This window comes from Homo sapiens, chromosome 13, assembly GCF_000001405.40.
Source record: "Homo sapiens chromosome 13, GRCh38.p14 Primary Assembly".
Classification (NCBI taxonomy): Eukaryota; Metazoa; Chordata; class Mammalia; order Primates; family Hominidae; genus Homo; species Homo sapiens.
Genome location: NC_000013.11, coordinates 102,260,996 through 102,284,297, shown reverse-complemented (window position 1 = coordinate 102,284,297; position 23,302 = coordinate 102,260,996). Strand labels below are relative to the sequence as shown.

Sequence of the window (23,302 nt, the reverse complement as noted above, 5' to 3'; positions counted from 1 at the left end):
GGCAGTCCTTTATAAGATCAAGATAATCTTATGAAGTTTTATAATTGATTTTGTCAGAGTTGCGATTTGGAGACATTCTGGCTATGCCATCTGAAATATGCTTTTGTGTATGCAAGACCTGTTTCCTAGACTTTGAGATGACATCAAGAAAGCTGCTCTCTCTTGCGGGGGAAAAAGCACCAATTTACTACAGTGTTGCCTGAAGTTCCAGTGCCAGCACTTCTGCATTACCCACCCTTTACTATTTTTTAAATCACAGAAATGTAGAATATTAAGGATCATCTAGTTATAATACCTACTTTTTGCCTGCAAAAGTAAGTGCCAACGATGATTGACTACCTACTACGTACTGACATATATATGCATTATTCCATTTAAACCCCACAACAATACTGCAGTATGCATTATTTTCATTTTACAGAGGAAATGAGACTCAGAAATTGATACTTGGAAAAATCAACTGACCTGCTTATGGTTACAAAGCTAGTGAGTGGCAGACCTGAATTTAAGGATTAGGGAGTGAAACAAATTATTTAATGTAATTGAATGTTTCCCTTTTGTATACACACCGTTAGAGAAAAGAAATTTTGATTGCATTTTTTCAATGAAGTATGGTTACAGTGGACAGTAGGTTCAGAGAAATTGTTTACTGTAAATCTTTGAAAATATTTAAAAATATTTAATAAAGGAATTTTCTAAGAATGGTTGGAATTTACACTAAATTTGAAGAAATGGTGAAATAAAATTGATGGCAAAGGACTGTTTTTCAATGTGAACGTTTGAAGATGTTAGATATTGCTGGTAAAACACTTCCTTCTAGATCACTTAATATGCATCCTCCATAATCTTATTCTCATTCATCAGGTCTTTAGCCCAGCATGTACCAGAAGGGGTTCTGGACCTGTTATAGCAGAGACTACAAATTCTTCTCCATTTTCTGTTCTCTTCTTCTTCTTTTTAAAGTAATAAAAGAGGTTTCAGCTGAGCATAAGATCATGTCGCTAAAGGCTACATTTCCCAGCCTCCCTTGTAGCTAGTTGTGATCATGTGATCAAGCCATAGCCAATGGAATTTCAGTGAAAATAGTGTAACCAATTCCCAGGTCATTTGCTCAAAAGAGTGCAATATGTCCCCTTCTTTTCTTGTCTCCATTGAGTGGAACATGAGCGTGATGGCAGGAGCTGGGGCAGTCATGGATGAAAAGTTGCTTTTGCAGGACCACAGAGCAACAAGATAGAAGGAGCCTTGAAACCACCATACAAGCTTTGGGCTGATTGTGCTCTCTCAGAGAAAGAGATAAATGCCTACCTTATCTAAACCACTACTAGTTTTCAACATAGATAATCTGAATCCTAACGTTTTTCAGATATTAATAAACATAACTTAATAAAAGGTTTGGAAAACATTGACATAAAGAAGCTAGAGAGGTTTTTTTTTTTTTTTAATTGCATGACTTCTCAGAACTTTTATTGGATAGCTATGTGATCAGCCTTGGCCAATGGAATATGAGTGAAAATAGTGTGACCTAATAGTGGTTGGAATGAATCTCCAAGAGGAGGTGTGAAGTGTTTCTAATATTTATTCGATTACAAAAATTATTTTTAAAATGGGGCTTCCTATATGGGCTTCATAGGTATGTGGGGTGGATTTTGAGAACTGCAGCTTTAGGAAGCACAACTTGAGAAAGCTCTTAGTGGCTTAGCTTAAGATAAATGTTGAAGGTAGGTGTGGGCATGAGGAGATTGTGTTGTAGAGAGCCCTTCAATTCCACATATCATTATGGAACACTAAGTATTATGGAGATAAAGATATATTTCATTGGAAAGAAAATGAAATAAGTTATTGTTACAGATACTAAACTGACATTAAGACAGATGAAATAATTTCAAAATAAGAAGTGGCTCAGATTCCTTATGTGATAACCTGTAAGAAGTAGGGATAGGAGGCTGGGCGTGGTGGCTCCCAGCACTTTGGGAGGCCAAGGTGGGCGGATCACCTGAGGTTGGGAGTTCGAGACCAGCCTGACCAACATGGAGAAACCCCATCTCTACTAAAAATACAAAATTAGCTTGGCATGGTAGTGCATGCCTGTAATCCTAGCTACTCGGGAGGCTGAGGCAGGAGAATCTCTTGAACTTAGGAGGCAGAGGTTGCGGTGAGCCGAGATCGTGCCATTTTACTCCAGCCTGGGCAACAAGAGCAAGACTCCATCTCAAAGGAAGAAAAAAAAAAAAGAAGCAGGGTTAGGAGAAGCGGCAAGGTCAGCCTCTGTGGCATCTTCTGAATTTATATGTGTGGGGCCTAAGATGGTAGAAGAAGTTGCTGCATTTGCAGTACGGACATATGATTTTCTTTCTTTGGTATAGTTGTGAGAGGTGCCTAGTAGAGAAATGATCAATCTTGACCTGGTCATCCCTTGTTGCCACCACTGTTTGGGACACATAGATAGTGAGTTATTTAGTAAGATATCTAGATGGACATGTAGTGTATGCTTTTGGAAATAGAGGCTTGAAGCTGGGAGAGATGAGAAATCTGGAGAAATGTTTTTGGAAGTCATTTCAGTACCCCTGAACTTGTACCTCTGAACTTAAAAAAAAAAAAAAAAAAGAAGTTAGGATCAGAGCAATAGTGGAATACGTAAGATAAACAGAGTCAAAGATTCCAAGGTGAGGTGAGTAGTTTTTATGACAAGACTACACTTCAGGAGCAAGTGTGGAGACATGGAAATGAAGAGAAGATTGCTGGTTTTGATCATTAGGAGGTTGTTGGTGACCATGGTGGAGTAGAGTCAGGTCAAAGCACTGACAGCGGTAGGGGCTTGTTTCCTCTGCTTTGAAGAGTGGATAACTGTGAGGAGGGAGATGAGGTGGGACCAAAACATGCTAGAACATTGATGAGACATACCCTCTCTTTGCTGGGCTGATGAATAGAGTTTTCAGGGAGAGGGCCACTCTTGCTTCTTCTTTACTGGACATTTCTAAATCCAGAAAAGCATTCAAGGACCAATGGCAGCACAGGCTCAGGGACAGCCCTTACTACCTCCTGAGCTTACTCAGAGCCTGCATACAGGTAACTCAGTTTTGATGCTACTCTATTTTATAACCAGTAAAAAGAAAATCTTACTTTTCATCAGAACAATGGCTTGATTTCATTTAGAATTCCTTAAAATTATTTTATGTTTGGCCTTGTGAAAATATTACTACTGAAACTCAAGCACTTGGGGAAAAAAAGGAATAAAAGAAAGTAATAGCAGAAATAGATGAAATCTAAGTCCAGTTCTCCAAGCACGTTGGAAAGCACCTTTTTATCCTGTTTATTTTATACTCCTCCTCTAGAGATTGTATCTATCCCTTCATGGAACTATGATGTTAGGTTCCCTTGAAATGTACACAGAGTTGACCCAAACTCTCAACTTTATATTCTGTAGGAAGCTCAATGTCCTTCCCATGATTTCTGGTGTTTCCCAGGGGCACCTGTTCTCATGTTCACTCTAGATCTGTTTTCATATTCCTATTAAACTCTAGATCTTGTTTGTTTGTTTGTTAAATCTTAGCTCTTGGAGCTGTTCTTATTTCTTTATCTCATGCATACTCCAAAATAAAACAAAAACCACCATTCAAAGAAGGCATTGGTGTGTATAATGGCTTCACTGAAGGTTTGCAGTGACTAAGGCAGTTTACCTTGCAGAACCAAACACTCATTCAGCTGCTGTCCTGCATTCCTGACACTGGAATTTTTTAAATTGACCTCCTTTTCCACATGATCAAACATCCTGTTCCATTGCTGACCACTGCCCCCTCCACTCTCACTGATGGCTTGCCCTCTCTCCTTTCTTGATATCTTCTCCACCCTCCAGATTCTATGAGCATCTCATGGAGCAGTCAGCATCAGTTGGTTGTGCAGTTTTTCACATAAAACATTTCCTTGGGTCATACTCCCCCACTTAAAACAGTCTCTCCAGGTATTTTCCTAAACAAAGGCAGTTCTCTCTCTTTGGGAAACTCTGGTACCAGCTGTTAAAATGACATTTGTTTCCAACCTGCTACATAATTTTAAAAAGATAAATATGCTATTTATTCTTTAGTAGCTGACATGTCTGGATAATGCTGAAATAATTGCCTATTTTCCTGCAGCATGTGGTCTGAGAAGGTACTGTTATTTGAACTGAGTGAAAAAAGGAAAAATAATTTGTATTTAATATCTACAGCACTGCATCCACATTATACTTAAATGATATTTGTAATTATTATTTACTATGTATACAACTTCCTCCCTAATATATTAAATCATACACAGAATATAACTTTAGGCCTGGTCTCTGGGCAGCATGTCTCCAAGTCAGTCTGTTTCCAATAGATGTAAATGCAGGAAAGAATCTGTATAATATTAGGGAGAAGACTTGGAAGGCATCTGTGCATTCAGCAGGGAGAACTGATGGCCAGGCATTTTCCAGGGGAGCCTAGATGTATTTCAAATAGAGTTCCCAAAGGGTTTTATTCTGAACAAGATGTTAATGGTTAGTTTATAAAGCTTAGACTTTTAGACTGTGTTGTTTCCAAGAAGGGTTCAATTTTTTTTTAACTTACTTTTTTTAAGGGGAGTAAAGCTGAGGAAAGAAAAAATATAATTGAGTATGCATTGGGCACTGTGCCCATTATTTTGTACTATGTGCAAATATATGGAAAGTGCTTAGAACGGTGCCTGGCATACGTTTACTAGAATTAGTATTACAAATTAGTGATCAACAATATACAAAATGAGGAACAAAGTAATAGACACAAATAATATATTAAAAACAATCACATAATATATAACTCAAATTTGGAACGTGAAGAAGCAAACCCTGGCAACTAAATTGATTAAATGTAATGTGCATTTTGTTAAAATTTTGCTAGTTGTAGTGTTAGTTTAATAGCCAAAAGGTAGAAATAACCTGAACCTTCAACAATAAGAAATAGTTAACAGATAAGCTTATGTATGATGGTACCTACCAAAATACCATGTTTTCCATAAAACATGTTTCCATGTAAATATATTACTTGGGAGAAGAATGAAAACATTGTATAAACCTTATTAAATCTATCATCTATTTATCTATCTATCTATACAAACATACATAAGTATAGAGAGGTTTGGAAGAAAATATAGCTGTATGTTCAAAATAATCTCTTGATGGAGGGATTATGGGGAATTTAAATTTTTAATTTGTCCAGTTTTCTTCCACTAGTTCTCAGTACTTTCATAGTCATAAAATAACATTTAAATAAATTAAAACAAAACAATCCAGTTCATATATGTCAAATATATATAATATCACCTTTGCTTTTTATGACTTTTATATCCAGCTGGTATATATAAGTCGCAAAATGTGTCACATCATCTTTGTTTCCTGGGCACTTTTGTACAAGGTCACTATGGAGGGCTCAAAATGCGCTCTGTGTTTATACTTCATCATTGCACCCTCGGCAGATGGTACCAGACTTCTGTATCTGATGGAATTTGATTTCCTGTCTCACAATTGCTGTTTGCTTTCAGTCATTTATCTTAAAATGTAACAAATGAGCGTTATGATAGCAGAGAGGGATTTTTCAGAGTAATGCATACACTGGAGCTTAATGAAGTGTGTATGTGTGTGTGTATGTGTGTGTATGTATATATATATATATATATTACATAAAATGTATGTAGAGTGACACTTACATTGCTTACACTTGCATTTTGGGGTCACACATCTAAAAGCCTGAGTTTTAGAGCAACTTGATTTTGTTTCCAGAAGGAATGATGCATTTTGAACCTATGTTCAATCACCCCTGTTTCATCTACCTCATCAGATGGTGAAATGCATGAGTTTATAAAAGACCAACTTCAGGAATGGCTATGGCTGATGTCAGTACATACCACTGTATTGTTTGCGCTTAGCTTGAAGCCACCTTTCCAGTTTTCAACTTGTCCGCTGCTTCCTCTGTGAAGGGCAACCCTGAGCCTCAGGAGATGGATGCCAGTCAGCTCTAATTCTGCACAAACCGTTTTACCTCACTGGGCCTCCATTGTTTTGTCATATGTGAAGAAAGGCACTCTTCAGAACCCTTAGCCTGTGACTCATTGCCTCTTTTAATGGGCTATGGATATGAGTGGGATCATCTAAAGGATTTTAGCTACATTTTGTGTTATTTCATTAGAATTCAATTATGGAAGCTGGTAGCAGAGCCACTTCCGTTGAATAGTAGGTGGGCTCCCACCTTGAATGCAGCTTTAATGAGGCTCTTCAAAGACCACAGTCAGCCCAAGAGAAAAGCATGTACTCTAAGGCTTGTATTTGATTCTGGGGCAATCATTTTGCAAAGTGAATTGAGCAGATATGATCCCATTTGTGCAAAATTTGCAGTCCAATACAGGTAATAATGACTTGGATGGTGATATTAAGGATGTAAATAAACAAATACACATTAAATTAGGTCAGTTACAAAAGTAGGCTAAGAACTCAGTGAATGCAGGAGCACTTTTGTGGGTTCACTGTAATGGATGTCAACATGTGGCAGAGAAGGGTTTGAATGGCTGTAAAATTAGTGTGAAAAGCAGAGTTCAGTAGTTGGCTTTCTTCCTGTTTCTCAAGAAGATCTGGTAAATGGTTGAGCTTATGAAAAGTCTTCCCTCTCCTGGGATCCTCCCCTGCTTGGGATGCTGTCCAGCGGGGTAATGGGAGGCAGCAGAGCAGAGCCCAGGGCTGGCCTCCCGATCTGCCTGGAGCTCCTCCAGGTCCCTCCCCTGGGAAAGGGAATAGTGTCTAAAGGCTGCAGGTTGGGCTGGTAAGTCAAGCTGATGAGGAATCATCTACATAACACCAGTGGGCACGCGGTGGGGCCAGCATGCTGCTCTTGCCTGGGAGGGAGGGCATTGAGTGCCCTGCACACTTCCCAGAGATAGCTGAGAGGGGGACATTCTCTCCTTTAGGACAGTGAGTCATGGTTTTCCAAGTTTTGAATAACTTTCAGCTTAAGCTCAACTTTAGAATTAATGAGGAATGTGCAAATTTAAAACAAAGAGACACTGCAGTTGTTTTAAATAGGAATATAAAGTGAATAGTGATTTCTAAAATAGATCTTCTTGATAGTCATTCTAAAAACAATTTTCGTCAACCACAATCTCTGGCATCTGTTTAAAAATAAGGTGGGTAAAATTGGCCATATTCTAGTAATGTGGCAGTTGATAAAATTAATCTACAAAATATTTGAACAGATAAAGGAATTACAATTTAAAATGATGAAAGTTAGGCAACATATTAATCCTTCCATCATCTTTGTAGGTTGACATGCTTTTAGCAAGCACCCTTAGCTTCATAACTTTTGCTTCTTGGCCTCCATTAATTTTAGATAGGTGACCATCAGCACAGATACCTGTGAACATACTACCAAGTTAGTCAAAGTAACTTTATCCTATTATTGTTTGCAACACTGAGGCCTCATAATCTCTAACTCTTTGCATAATTTACTGTCAATTTTAAAATGTCATGCTGTTATAGTAACTAAACATATCATTCCTGTGTTTCTGGTTGCTTACATAAGATGTTGCTTAAATAAAAAATTCTCTGAAAACATTAGGGCTCAAACACACATCTCTTTGTAGTTTGTTTATACTGTTTCAGAAAGAAGACTGCATACCGTGACACTTACATGTTTTGTAGGCAAGTTGAATAATGCACCAAAGGCTTTCAAACTTCTTAAAAGGAAAAATAATTCTTTGAACTGACAGTGAACAAACAATCTTTTCAGAGCTGGAGAATTTCTGTTTGATGGTCTGTGTCAGATGCAATGAACATTAAGAAAGTTTCCATACTCTAAATATGTCAGTAGTTTGGAGATTTCAAGAGATCTTTGCTGAAGTGCTTCTGATTTCAGAAATGATGAACCAATAATGTGTATATATATATATATATATATATATATACACACACACACACACACACACGTACGTGTGTGTGTGTGTGTGTGTGTGTGTGTGTATTTCCAAGTTAGGAAGACAGAGATTTCCAGAAGCCTCTAGTTAGTATTATTCAGTAGTTAAGGCAAAAGCACTGTTGACTGAGATTTCATCTGTGCAATGGTTTTCACTTACATTATCTCAGAATTATGCAATTCTCAGGCCAACTTTGAGTCTCTACTTAACTAATGGAAAAACTACGTCTCAGACTGAACAATTTGCTGAAAACATTTCATAGGGAATTACTAACTTTTATAGTCATTTCATATTCTACAATGCTTCCTAAAAGTAAAATTCCACTTTAATCTTTACAGTAGTAGAGAAGTAGCTCAAGAAGTAGGTATGAAGGAAGCTTGTTTTGTTTGTTTTTTTACTGTTCATTGCTCTTAAACTCAATTTAAGATTACAATTATTTTATTATTATGTTGCTGAGATCAGTCAGTGGTCTCATTCTGTCTTGTATATATGTTTCATTTTAAATAACTGTTCCTTTTTGCTACTCTTGGGAAGATTGTAGAGGGAGTTAAATTGGAGCCTGAGTTGTCTAAGCTAAGCAGAGGTGACAATTGGAAAGAAGTATTTTCTTGGAGGATCCAGAATCCTTTGGACTCACACTACTCACAGGACAGAACTTTAGAAGTCCTATTTGTGTTCCGAAATCTAGTTTATTAGGCATAAAAGTCTGAGATCCCGATTCTATATCTAATGTTCTTTGCAAGGATCCATTTCAGCTGTTGAGATTATTGGCAAGTAATTTCCCAATGGAATGCCTTTATGGCTGAATACTTGGATCTTTACTTTCAAATTCATTTTTATCATCTTTTCAAATATTTCAAATGTTATGTTTGATGTAAAGATTAGGAGAGAAATCCATTCTATTTTAAATACAAATTTTCAGAGGTTGTAAAAAAATATAATAGCCCCTTGTCCAGATGTTATGATTTAAATTCTTCATTAGATAATATTTTTGGCATATTTTTTAATTTATAAAAATACCAAAACAAATATGACCCCTTTGGAATTTTAGAGTGGCAGAGAGAGAGAGAGAGAGAGAGAGAAAGAGAGAGAGAGAGAGAGAGAGAGAGAAATCTGCCTAATCTCAGTTGGCAGATTAGCAGCTTCTGCAGGACATTACAGGAAGTATTACCCACAAGGTCAAAATGCAGAGAAAATAGTTAATCTCTGTCATTTGCTATGAAGATAGGACATAATTTAATGCATACAGGAGAAAATGCTTCAAATATGTGCTAAGATTCTGTCCTAGGCAAAATACAATCCTGATGTGTTCACAGAAAATCAAGATACATTTAATTATTTTGGATTTTATAGATACTTATGAGTTGAATGCTGTTACCATGTTGAATGCTATTACGAGTAAAATGCTATTTTACTCGTCATTATTTAATAAATAATTATTTATTATTTATTAAATAATGACGAGTAAAAACAAAACTAAAACTCTACATTGGTTACAAGATATATGGGCATGGTTTCTACATTCCATATCTGAGGATCAAAGACAGAATACTCCAAGTCAGACATAACCAGAATATGGGTTAAATCATTGGTTTTCAATATTTCTTCCACCAAGGGCCAATGGCTTCTTTTAGTATGTATGTGTATGTGTGTATGTGTGGGTTTGAACCCCTTGTTTGACAGGCTTTTAACATTCTAAACAAGCTGCATTCTTTAAAAAATATATTATATATATGAGTGTTAATCAGAACTTCTGAGCAACATTTTATAAAATTGGCATTTCATTCTTCTTGTTTATTCATCACCTGCAACCTGCATTTTGCTGGACACAGCATTCAAAATCCAAAGAGACAGCATCCTTGCTTTCATGAATATTAAAATATGGGTTTGTGTGGGTGGGGGTAGGGGACAAATAAATAACTAATAAAATTCCAGATCCATTAGAAAGCAACTTGACATTTTAGTTTGTACAATGTTGCCACAGATACATGCAGCATTCCTTATGGAACTTAAAAAAATCAAAATCTTTCCGACACTCAGAGGTATAGGTGCCCCAAGGTGGGATTCACTGTGGGATTCAGTGATGTTATTGTATTAAGTATCCAAAAAGCATGTTTGAAGAGAATGAATGATACAGGGAATTGCAGAATGCGGTGGGAGCCCCATGTGTAGCTAGCCAGGCACAGGCAAGGGATAGTGGCAATGGCAGATCCACGATAGAACATTTGCTACGTGCCAGCAGTTTTCCACATGATATCTACAGCTCTCAACAAACCCCTCAAGGTGACTACTATTGCTGTCAGTTTCTTTTTTCTTTTCTTTTCCCCTTCCCTTCCTTCCCTTTCTCTTTTCTCTCTCTCTTTCATTTTTGAGACTTCTTTCTTCCTTTTTTTTTTTTTTGAGACAGGGTCTTGCTCTTGCTCTGTCTCCCAGGTTGGAGTAGAGTGGTGCAATCACGGTTCACTGCAGCCTTGAACTCCAGGGCTCAAGCAATTCTCCCACCTCAGCCTTTTAAGTAGTTGAGACTACAGGCACTCACCACCATGCCCTGCTAATTTTTGTATTATTAGCTGGAGTCTCACTATGTTGCCAGGCTGGTCCTAAACTCCTGGACCTGTAGAAAGAGAAAAGAAATTAAAGATTTTTAAGAGGTGGAAAAGCATTTACTATAAATTAGGAAAACAGCTTGATCAGTTAAAAAATAATAAAAATCACTAATTTCTGCTTATGACATTTCAGGTGTTCTATATTAGTACACACACAATCTGTTACTAAAATTAAGTTTGAAAATGTAACTATTTTTTACTTCATTCTTCTTTAGATCACAAAATTCACTTTTCAGCAAGCACAGTGCTTATTTTTATCATGTGGCATAAATGAATGCCTTGAGTCGTTTTGAGGGGAGGCCATTCCAAATCTTCTGAAAAGCAAACCTCTGAACAGGTGGCGAGTCTTCAGATTTCCTTTTGGTGAAGGCTATGCACAGGAAGGAAATTACATGTTGTGGATTAATTCTGTCCCATGCTGCTATTTCTTTTTGTCATGAATTCTATTTCCTATAAACACGATTAGTCGACGGATCAGTGGTTTGCTATTATTAACTAGGTTAGGTCTATTTTTTAGTGTCCCTGTCCAAAAGTTACTCAGCACGGGCTTGAACCACACCATATGTCCAGCGTTGCTACCTTTTTTTCAAAATAATGCAATGTAGTGATGTCCCTTATATTCCCTTCAACTAGAGGAAAAGTCTTTGCCTTTTTCTAAGGACAGACATTGGAATTAGCTCTCACATAACTAGTTTTTATTTATTTCGTGACAGGTCATAGGATATGATATCAACAATGACAGCCTAACCTGCTTTATTTTTAAAAAATCTTCTGTGAACTCATGAGATATATTTGTTTATTAAATTAAACTACGTTTGAAGCTATCTTTAAAAGTCTTATCAATGAATTTCTTTCCTTATTTTAAAATGAGATGTACATAGTACAGTGGTTAAGACAGTTGGGTCTCCTGTCAGTGTGACATAATTCAAACTCTGGCCCTCAATATCTATATTGAGTGATATATAGATATATATAGATATATCACTCAATATCTATACGATCTTGGGCTAGTTATTTCACAGCTTTGTGTCTCAGTTTTCCTATCTGTAAAATTGGGATAATGACAATGACTACCATTTCTACTGCAGAGTTTCATCTGGGTATGCATTTTTATTTAAAATAAATAAATTAACACATATGCAGTATTTAGGACAGGACCTTGTGTGCCGTAGTCATTTAATAAATGTTAGATATTATTACTACCGTTCCTGCCATCACCATATCCACATTTAGGAATATTTACTTTGCACCTGCTTTGTGCCAAGTACTGGACTTACAAGGGTGAAATAAATTATGGACAAGGTATCTTCTATCCTAAAGCTTACATTCAATGGTGAGATACAAGTAATCATAATTTTTAAGCAAAAAAGTCAAATAAACAAAGAGTAAGAAATGCATGAAGTAACATAGAGTGAAATGATTAAAAGACAAAGGGGTTTATTAGAATGAGTTGTCCGGGAAAGCTTCTCTGCGTTTGTGATATTTAAACTCAAATTTCATGATAATAAAAAGCAAGCCAAGAAAGTGAAAGAGGGAAAATGGGGAGGGAACTGTCGGTAAAAAGGCTACAGCACTGAAAACCTAAGGGGTGTTTGAGGAAAAGAAAAAATGTCAGAGTGGCTGGAGACTGTTGGCAAAGTGGAGGGAATCAAAAAATTCGGCCAGGGTTGGTGTGTGGAGAGCAGCTGGACAGGCTAAGGAGTCTGAGTATTACTTTTTTTGCAACTGGAAGCCATTGCAGAGGAGAGACAGATCACATGTATGTTTCAAAAAGATTCTTCTGAGTCCTCACTAGAGAATAGACTATTGGGTTGGGGCAAAGGAAGAAGCAGAGACTTAGGTTAGGAGGCTACCAACGTGGCCCATGTGAGAAACGACGGTGACCTGGTCTACAGAGGTGGGAGCCAGGGTGGAAAGAAGAGGAAAGATTCAGATTAAATTTTTGGAATTATTTTTGTGCCATGCTGTCTACTTGACCACACATCAGACAGACATCCAAAAGTGCTCGATGATAGCGATTGTCATTCATAACATTTATTGCAGACCCAGACACTGTACTAGTTATTTGGAATTTAAACTTATAGTTTTGTAGGGAAAATGGACATATGAAAATTAATGAAACACAACGTGATATTAACTCCAGTGAACCTAAATAGATGGAACGAGTACTCAAAGGAGCTCACTCATCTGGGGCTTTCCAAAAGAATTCGTGGGAGAAATAATATTTGATTTTAGCTTCCATTGATGATGGGTTGGAGTTTGGTATGTTGAGAAATGGGAAGAAATGCACTCTGGACAGAAAATGGAGGTGCGTGGCTCAGAGTTATAAATGTTCATGGAGTATTTAGAGAAAATTACATGAATGGCTGTGACTGGAACACGGCAAATGGACGAGACAGAATGGTGAAGAGAAGAATGAGTATGATGGAGTTTTATTTTGCAGGAAGGCGTGCTGGGGAACTGGCAAACCAATATGAGATATAAAAATTGTTAAAAATTTGGCAAAGATTCAGAATTTAATTTCAAGAAAAATTTCACTAGACACCAAATTAACCAAAAACTGTATATCGTAATATTAATTCTGATAAGTATTTACCACAAAACCAAGGGTAATTGACTAAATCACTCCTTCACATAGCAAGATGAAACTAATAATATCTCTGTAGAGCATGTGGAGTAACTAGCTAATATGAATACAGAAACTGTGTCCTTTTAAAACCATGTTAACTGCTTATTGTATAAATGTTCATGCATTCATTTCTTTCAGCAAACAGCATAAGCAAGGAAATAATACTTTAATGCATTTATTCAGTGGTAACAATGATACTTGCATTAAATCAAATTTATCTGACAACAAATTTTGAAAGCACTTTACACAGAATATATACCCAAACACCAGTTGCTACAAACATGACAAAGGACTAATATATTTACTCTATCATGAATTCATAATAATCAATAAGAAAAACATTAAGACAAACAAATAAATGACAAACAGCTTGAACAGACAATTCAGCAAGAAGGAAAAACAAATACCCAGACATAAAATACAATGCAATGTACAATATATATGTCTATATGTCTATATATTTATGCTCACTTACAGTTCAAAGCATGTAAGTGAAATTCAACTTATATTGTTTACAGAAGTAAATTCTTGGCAAGCAGGTTGACAATATGTGTAAAGATCCTTAAAAGCTTTTATATATTTGGTAAGTAATTCTGTTTCTGAGAATCTATCCTAAGAAAACAAACCTAAGTAGGCAAAGTGTTACAGTAATGAAAACAGCTGAAATTTCTATCTATAGAGAAATGTTTTGAGATTCAGTGGTAAAGTCATTTCATGTAATATGATACAGATTTTGAAATATGATTTATTAAAATTGTGTAGTAACATAGGAAATGCTTCCAATACAGCATAAAATAAAAATCAGAGTAAAAATTATGTTTATGCTTAAAATATATGAAATACCTTAGAGACACACAGAGAGAGAGAGAGAGAGATGAAAGACATTTACTATATGGATGTTTCTAAGTGAAGGAATATGGTTCTTTTATTTTTTTTTCCCTGAATGTTTCATATTTTCTTGAAGCAGCATGTAATACTTTTATAACATCATTTTACTTAAAATTTTACAACTTTATTGTCAGATAACAGATTAATTCTATTTTAAATTGTAAACATTTAAGACCAGAGAATTTTTTTAAACTTGCTCAGGCACAGTACTAGGTACTGGTGAAATAATGGAAAAAAACTGGTCCCTGCCTTTGAACAGCAACTCCACTCGGGCGTGGTGAGATGCAAAGCTCCTGGTCAGGCCTCTAGCTTGTGGACACCATCTTAACCAGGCCTTCCAAACAGATGGTATCTATGCACTAGTTTCTGATTTTTTTTTTTGAAAGGGTGAGTCTCATTGTGTTGCCCAGGCTGGCCTTGAACTCCTAGGCTCAAGCAATCCCCCTGCCTCATTCTCCCGAGTAGCGGGGATTACAGGTATGTGCCACCACATCTGACTTCCATCAACTTGTGTTAAAGATTGCCAGGGTGGAGCTGGGTGTGATGGCACATGCCTGGCAGTCCTAGCTACTCAGGAGGCGGAGACAGGAAGATCACTGGAACCCAGGAGTTCAAGGCAAGCTTGAGCAACATATTGAGACTCCATCCCTAAAATACAATAAAATATAATAAAATAAAATACAAAATAAAATAAAGATTGCCAGGCTGATAATTTAATGCCTCAGAAATTCACCACATCCCTACTTACATCTGAATAAAATTCTGTCATATAATTTTTCTTAATACTGTTTTTATAAGAGATGACAAACAGTTATCACCATTCTTTATATAATAGCTCACCTAAAATTAAAAGCAGAATTATGCTTTTTATGGTCTTCCCCAATCTGCCTGTGCTATCCATGCTGACAGACACTTTCAGAGTTAACACGAAGAACTTTGTTTTACAATTGTAGTCTATTGCTGATTGTGAAATTTGTGATATATTAGCAGAAATTGCCTTGACTGTTGAATTTGCATATGTCCAGTTGGTCTCCACCTAGGACTTAGTGGCTTTTGGTTTTCCTGATGAACTGTTTTTCACTTTTCCAATATTTGTGCCAAACAAGTCATTCACTGCCTGTTTCAGACCACATTTTTCTGTATCACCCAAACATTAAGCTTGAATTATGTTTTTCTCAGTTGAATGTTACTTCACCATTTAGTAAGAAAGTTGTATCTCTCCAGATTGCTAATTGTTAGGTGATATGGTACACAAGCTAAATATTATTTTGCCAGCATAAATAACATCTCTATCTTCTCAGTAACCTATTGAATGATCTTCTTGTTATAGAGGCAGATAAAATTGGTTGCCATGGTGAGTTTATCATTAAACTTATCAAAAGATTAGTCAGTCTTTTGATGGAAATATTTTTTGTTAATTTATTTCTATTTGAATAATATAACATGTTTTCCCCTCATGTATTTTAGTGATTTAACTTAAAGGATTAAATTTTTGACTAGAAATTTCCAGGTAACATCTGTAGTCTTTATTAAGTTTTGATTTATATGATTTAAATTATAAAAACACCATCATCATATAAAATTAAAATATAACAGGTCAGAAATGAGAAGTGAAATTCTCTTTCTCCCATCATCCCTAGTTTCCTTTATTAGAAACTCTATTGAGATTTTCACATGTATTTGCATATATTATTCTAGACATTTTCCTGTATCCACAACATTATATATGTATATAATGTATTATAACTTACATAACTTTTATATAATGTCTACATATTTTGGTTTTACTCAAATGATATCATAGTATAACATTATTCTGCAGCGTTTTCACCAAAATTATCATGCAAAAATGTTCACATCAGTCATTTTTAGATCTTCCTTATTGTTTTTTACAATAAGGAAAAAGTTTTTTTTAACTACACATTATTCCTTTGTGTGGATTATTATGAACTATTTCACTAACCCTTAGTGAGTTAGTCAATGACACCGAGTGTCTGCAATGTGCTTGGACTTATGTTGGATGTCATGGAGACAGTGGCGAACAAAGACCAAGATTTTGTCCTCAAAGTGCTCACATTTTTGTGTCCTTAAGGATGTTTTTCACTATTATGGCAGCTTTTCTATTCAGAATAAATTTTATTCCATTTACATTTATTGATTTCATAAATGTGTGTGGTCCTATTCTGATGTCTTAGAAGATTGTATTTCATGATTTATTGTTTCCTTCTTATCTATTTATAGCTAAATTGAATGTACTCTTTTTTTTTGTATTTTTTGAGGCATGAAAAACATCAGCTCACCTAACCAGCTTCTTTTAGTAGTTTTCTCAATATCCTTAGATAATACATTTGAATAACTATTTTTTGATTAACTGTATACAATTTCTGTCTGCTTTGAAACTTAGAAATTACTATGTTTGTATTTTCTTTTACCCCCAAATTTTAGTACTTTACATGATTGTAAAATACCAAGGATTATAACATTTACATTTGGTTCTGTAACCATAATTATCTTGTTTATTTAAATCTAATTTTTCATTTATATTGATCTAGCACTAGCAGTCATCCTTTATAGAGAACACATTATTTAAATTTATCTCTTGCTTGAAGATATCTTTCTCTCTCTCTACACATAGCCATATATATAACCATAGATATGATACATATATCCTTTACATGTATGATACATAACTTTAAAAATGGCCAATACATTTCATATGTCCTTCAATGTTCCAAAAATTATTATTTTTGTCTATACACTTGACTGAAAAATCTTGGCTGAGTATACAATGTATGAGTCATGTATTTTTTCTGTTAGAATTTTGCCAGCATTTCTCCACTGCATTGGTCATTGGAAGTTGATGTCTGAAATGCTCCCAATTTGCTTTTTCTCCACCACACTGTTCTAAGCACAGTGTTCAGTGCTGGAGGCACAAAGATGGAGAAGTCTCAGGTCCCTTCATTGAGAAGCTCCCCGACTAGGGTGTGGTTGAGCCCCAAATCATTCATCTGCCTCATGGACATAATTCTAACCCAATAGTTGTGAATAACTTAAAGTATAATAATAATAAAATAAAATTACAAAAAAAAGAAAGTTTATCTTTTGTCTTAAGGTCCAGTAACTTCACTAGAATCTTCAGTTAACTTTCCACATCATTTCTTTGTAAATACAGTGTGATTCCTTAACTTCATCGTCTTTTATTTCAAGAAAGACTTCTTTTGTTAAACTATTGAAATTTTGTCTGTTTCTTTGTTTTTGTTTGTTTTCTTCAAGAATATCAATTTTGACCATTTGGTTACTTTTTGTCTTCTGTAACTATTGTTTTCTGTCTCCAGTGAGTTTATATGTTTATTCCTTTACTTTTGTGTAATTTGCTTTTCAAGCTTGTGTTTTACCTTTCTTACTGATTTCAGCAGTATATATTCCACTCTTTTCTTTCTCAAGTGTAGTTTTCATCTGAAAAATGACTATACTGATATTTTCAATTTATTTTCTGAAATTGGTGAGTTCATGTTTTATCTCTGTTTTCTTTGATCCCTCTTTTATATGTTTAATATCTTTTTAAAATTCTTTACCCAGAATCCATGGTCCATGTTGCATGTTTTCTTTATATTCTTTAAGAATATCATTTGATATAAATTTGCTTCTGTTTATTGGGAGCAATTCTTTTATAAAATGCGGTATTTATCTGATCTTTGCTTCTTTCTCTCTCTTTCTCTTTCTCTCCCTCCTGTATTCTCTCTTTGAGATGAGCAGATCACCCACAAAGAGGATTAGCCTTGTTGTAATTGGATGTTTAAATTACAGGTTTTTATTTTGTAATTTAGAGTTTGCTTATCACTGATATGGTGACCTCGGTATGCAATTACAAAGAGGGAGGTTCCTCTCTCTTCAGCTCTTCTAACTCCATCTAACTCCATCTTTGGCAGTTTTTTGGTGTCAGGAGTTTTAATGGGAAAACAAAAACAAAAATGGCCAATATTTGTCATTCACCTTTAGTCAGCCTCTTCTACTGTTCTGGGAAGTAGAAGTTGAGCCTATATTTTCTCACCCCAAGTAAAGGATCACTAATTAGACCTTTTTGAATTTACCAGTTACTTTTAAGAAATCTGCGTCTTGGTTAAGATCTAGAGAGATGAGTTGTCCCTTATTTTTTCTCTCATTTTGTATTGGTATTTTGCAATAGTCTTCTTAGTCTTTTTTTGTGGGGCTGTCATAGCTTCCCAATTTCATTGCAATTGTAATTTTATCTAATTCTTAATTATTTTAATCAATTTTTTAAATGACAATGCAGGAAGTAAACAAATTTTTTTTTCTTCTTATATTTTACAGGAAATCTCCATTAGTATGCTTCAAAATAGAGTAATCAAAGTAAGCATTTGCATCAATTTAAAAAATATTTTTATTGATTTTGAAAAAGAAGCACTTTTCAGTGTTTTCAGTTCTTAGGTAAAGTGTTTTCAGTTCTCAGGGAAAAATGTATTCTGGAATTCTAATTTTGATTTCTTCACTTACCAGCTGTGATTCTTCTATTTAGTCATTAAATTTTTCTCAGTCTTAAGGGTATAAAAATTCCTACTTACCTCACAAGGCTATTTTGTGAGAATCAAACAGAATAAGACATGAAAATCTGGAATGTTACCAATTCTAATGCAACTATCAGGTACAGTCAATATTTACATTTTACATATGGAAAAACACTTCCATTTTTCCATATGGAAGAAAACCCAAGTCATGGCTTATAGAAGACCATAATGGATTCTGCCTTTTGCTTGAATTATATTCAGATGCGCTATTATTTTTCACCAAGTCTGATGGAGATCGACAACAGTGCATATCAGTGTGTCCATGCTTGCAATTACTTCCCTTATCCTCACCTCCCGCCATGTTTGCTAAAAGAGATAATGAACCTGGCAGTTCTGTTTCTGAGCATTTGCAAAGCAGAAATGGGTATGGAGAGTTAAGGAGTTTATACCAGAAAGCGCCAAAATTTACTTACACAAAAACATAATGGAGAAATAAAGGGTAGTGGAGACCTTGTTTTGGAGGGAAGTTTTGATGGAGGATGAGAATGAGAAAGGAAGAGAGAGGCCAAGTTAAAGAGAGAGAAAAGGCATTTTAAATTGTTTTTTGGTTATGAATTGAATTTCTTTTAATGTTTTCAAAAGATACAAGTAAGTATTAGAAGTATTTTTAATTACTTTGGGGTGAAGGACTGTGTTTCTTTATGATACAGAATGACATAGGACTTACATGATATGCCTCCAATTTCCTCCTCCTATCTACTCTCAGCTCTTCTCCATCCCGTGCTGTGCCCTGGGAGACTGACCTTGACCTTTGGCCAATGGGCTGCATGATCAAACAACTAGCAGGAGAAGAGTGAGATTGGGGATTTTGTCCTAATACCCTCCTCCTGACAGTCACTGTGTACCAGCTGTGTCCCTTGACAACAGGTCATGGTTCCTCTGAGGGAAACTTCTCTGACTCCAGGTTTAAATAACCACTCCCCTCTTGCCCTTTTTGACTCAGGTGTTTTAGTCCCCCACCATCTTTAGCTCCCAGATAGTGTTACTATCCTTTGTGGTTTCTGTACAACCTGTAAAGACTCGTAAATAATTCCTTTATAAAATCCCTACTCAAACAACAAGAAGTGTGTTATTTTCTGCTATAGAACCCCAAATCGTATAGGACCAAATGAGGCCCTTAGACTTATTTGGTTTGTAGAAATATGCTTTAAGTGTCTGGTATTGTACTAGAAAAAACACAGACGATCTAATAGCCATATAACTCAATCAGCTGAAGTGGTCAGAACTTTTAATTTTGGCCAGTTTTCGTGCTTTATATATTTCATGCTTTCCATGTCAATAGTAGATGCTAATTTTATGGAGAAGGAGCAAAGAATGCAAACTTTTTTTGAGCCTCAACTTTGCGTTGGTGTCAGTGTTCAGCACTGCATTGTCCCTATGCAATCCTAGTATGAATCTCATGAGAAAGGTCTATTTTGCTTCATTTTACAGATGAGTATCATGAGTCTTAAATTGTTTCACCAACTCTCAAAACTGGCAAATGACAGAGCTATGATTCAAACAGCTTTGATCTCAATCCATCTAAAATTGGTTCCCCGAATTTATTATACCTCAGAAGTACATAGGAATTCTTTTAAAAATACAGATTATTAGGACTATCTCAGATATGCTAAAAAAAAAAAAAGGAAAGAGAAAACCTCTAGGGGTTCTCGATTTGGAAAGCTTATATAAGCCTTCACCCCTCACTTGGTGATTCTGATATGCAGCCAGTTTGGAAAGAATAAAGTTTCGAATTGATTCTGCCCCTAAATGACACTCAACTTTTTTCCCCTGGTTCTTACATTTGGCCTTTCAAATACGTTAAACAGAGCCATATACCAGAGAGTGAATTATTTCACTGTCTAAGAGTGTTTATTCTGATTTTCCCTATAGGTCACTTCTTAAACAAATTCTGAATTTTAGCAATTCTGCATGAATTAAAAGCAATATGAATTATGTCCAGAAATACTGTACTAGAAATATTTTTATCTGTGCTAACATTTATTATTTAAAACAAAATTATATTAGAGTCCATGAAAATACGTAGAGCCTAAATTAGTAATTCTGATATTGTAAAAAGTGAACTAAGTATATGTTTTTATAAAAGTTGGCATAAAATGAGAATATTGGTATTGAATTACTTCATAATCTCTCTCTAATCTTCATACATATTAGGTACTGTCTCTATTGGGGGTGCCTTTCATGTGTTTAAGGAATGAAGAAGAAAATGTGGTATTATGTAAACCCTTAGCACTTGAGACTAAATTTTTGTCCTATTCATCAAATTATGATACTACATAATTTTTCACTGCTCACTACTCCATTTCTCCATCTTTAAAATGAGTAAGTCCACCTTACTAAAGCTCAAAGAAATATCCTATAAAATCTGCTTTTTAAAATAAATCGTCCTTTCTCTGCCATCGTGGTGTGTGCTTGACTGCGCTTCTCGCCATGTCTTCTCACAAGACTTTTAGGGTTAAAAGACTTTTAGGATTCCTGGCCAAGAAACAAAAGCAAAATCATCCCATTCCCCAGTGGATTTAGACGAAAACTGGTAATAAAGTCAGGTGAAACTCCAAAAGGAGACATTGGAAAAGAACCAAGCTGGGTCTATGAGGAATTGCACATGAGATGGCACACATATTTATGCTGTCTGAAGGTCACAATCATGTTACCATATCAAGCTGAAAATGTCACCACTATCTGGAGAGTTGGACATGTTTTGTTGGGAATATATATTTTTTTCTCTCTGAATCTGTTATGAACGCATTGGTTTGCTGGGTTCAGTAATAAATACGTGAGACCTTTCGTTCACTTAAAAATCAATCAATCAATCACTGACTTCTGAGATGATATAAAATAAAAGCATCAAAATAAAAGCAATAAAATAAGGTAAACATGAACTACTATGGGCTTCATAAAAAGTCCAAATATCAGTGAAAGTGTGTTATTCAACCATTGAGAATCCACTGCCTAACATAATGCTTACCTGTTAGTGGGTGCTAAATTTTGGCTTTACTTGGCTATATTGGATCATTATTATATAATTTAACAGATATGTGCATGGATTTTTTTAGAGCTACATTTACACTTAAAAATCTATCAAAATAATTACTCCTGCTAGGAATTTTAGAAAGACTTTTTAAAATAAACAATTACCCACCAAGAAACACAAGGTTAGAAGGGTGTCAGTGATAGGAATTGTAGCACCAGTTTTTCTTTATAAAGTTCCTCACAGGGACAGAGTGAGCATGAAATAAAAAGTGATTTTTCTTTTTAAGTTTGATTGGTTGAAAGGGAGGTCCAAGCAATAGTAGGTAGGAAATAATGATTCTGAATTTTTATTTCCATTGTAGATAGCAAACGTTTACTTCTGAAAAGCTTTAGAGTATTTAACCTGAATACCTAAATATTTCATCTTAAGCACTTAAAATGTTTATTTTAAGTGTCATAACCTTAACATGCTTTATTTTTAACATCTATTAGAGTAAAAATGTACAAGTATTTCTTGCTGTATCCATGAAAAAAAGGTTTTCCCAATAGTGTGATACTAAAGATCAGCATCTGCTTTATAACATTCACATCTGTTTGCTCAGTGGAATTTACCCTGCCCTCAGCCACAGCTAGTACTGAGTGAATCCACAAGGCTACTGCTTCCAGGAAGAGTCACTTAGCCAAACACCCAATTTAAGTGGGCCCCCTTTCTCCATGCGTCCTGATACAGTTGCTAATGAAGCCATGCATCCCATCTGTCAAGCATTTTAGGTGATCACACCAAAGAGGCCATGGACAAAAAGACTCCTACATATCCCCAGCTCAACAAAACCTACTGGGTACCCCCTATTTTATTTTTAGGGTAATATTTTCTTCTTTATTTAAAATTCAATAGGAAAAATCATTTTGTCTTTAAAAACTTATGAAAGTCTTTGAAAATTAGACTGTTTAATTTGAATTCTAGGAATGTGCTTACATATTTCCTTATGTGTGATGTATTTTTATAGAAGATATTGGACACTAAAAGCTGATAGCCACCCTTGTTAGAAAGGAACTATTTAGTCATTATTTCTGAGGCCTGCTGTCATCTTTCCTTCCCCGGTTTGGGAAAGAGAGGGTAGTATAACGGGTTATTTTGGAATATGCAAGACATGTGCTGATGAGCTATAATTACATAGTGACATCTTGGGAACTGCTATTTGGATGCTGCTTCCAGCTAATTTATAATTCTTTAAAGATGCTACATTCACATTGGTTTTTCATTTACTTTCATTTTTTTCCCATTTCTTTAAAACTGGTAGCATTGCTATAGGTTTAAATATCTCAACGATTTTCTTCTACAACATCCAACCAAGCTGAATTAAAACTTATTGTAACAGCCAAGAAGCTAAAGGTAAAGCTCCTTAAATATTTTCCAAAATTATCTAATTGCTTCTTACAAAACTTTTCCTTTGTTTTTGGTGCCTTGTTTTATCCTAATTATCATTCAGTCCAAGTGGATCTTATTAGGATCCCATGGTCTTTTTGCCCTTGCTGGGGCCTGATGTCATTTTTTGTAGACACTGATCTAAAATAAAATGACATGAATCTGTTCAGATGAAACAATTTCAGTTATTCACTTTTCAGGTATCTGAGTGTCTCCTATGGACACAGTTTCTGCCCCTAAG

The 23,302-nt window shown here is 35.3% G+C and overlaps 1 protein-coding gene, 1 long non-coding RNA gene and 1 pseudogene across 23 annotated transcripts in view; 2 read left to right on the top strand and 1 right to left on the bottom strand.

Annotated features, from left to right (window-relative positions):
- LOC107984615 (uncharacterized) overlaps positions 1-6,010 on the bottom strand; it is a 34,537-nt gene extending 28,527 nt beyond the window's left edge. The window contains exon 1 of one of the 2 annotated variants that reach the window (XR_007063856.1): positions 5,899-6,010. This is a non-coding gene — a long non-coding RNA (uncharacterized LOC107984615). The remainder of the gene's footprint in view (positions 1-5,898) is intronic. The other variant, XR_001750082.3, reaches the window with a different exon arrangement.
- Positions 1-23,302, top strand: part of FGF14 (fibroblast growth factor 14) — a 691,640-nt gene that overhangs the window by 118,146 nt on the left and 550,192 nt on the right. The window lies entirely within an intron of this gene.
- Positions 21,045-21,460, top strand: RPL39P29 (ribosomal protein L39 pseudogene 29; annotated as a pseudogene).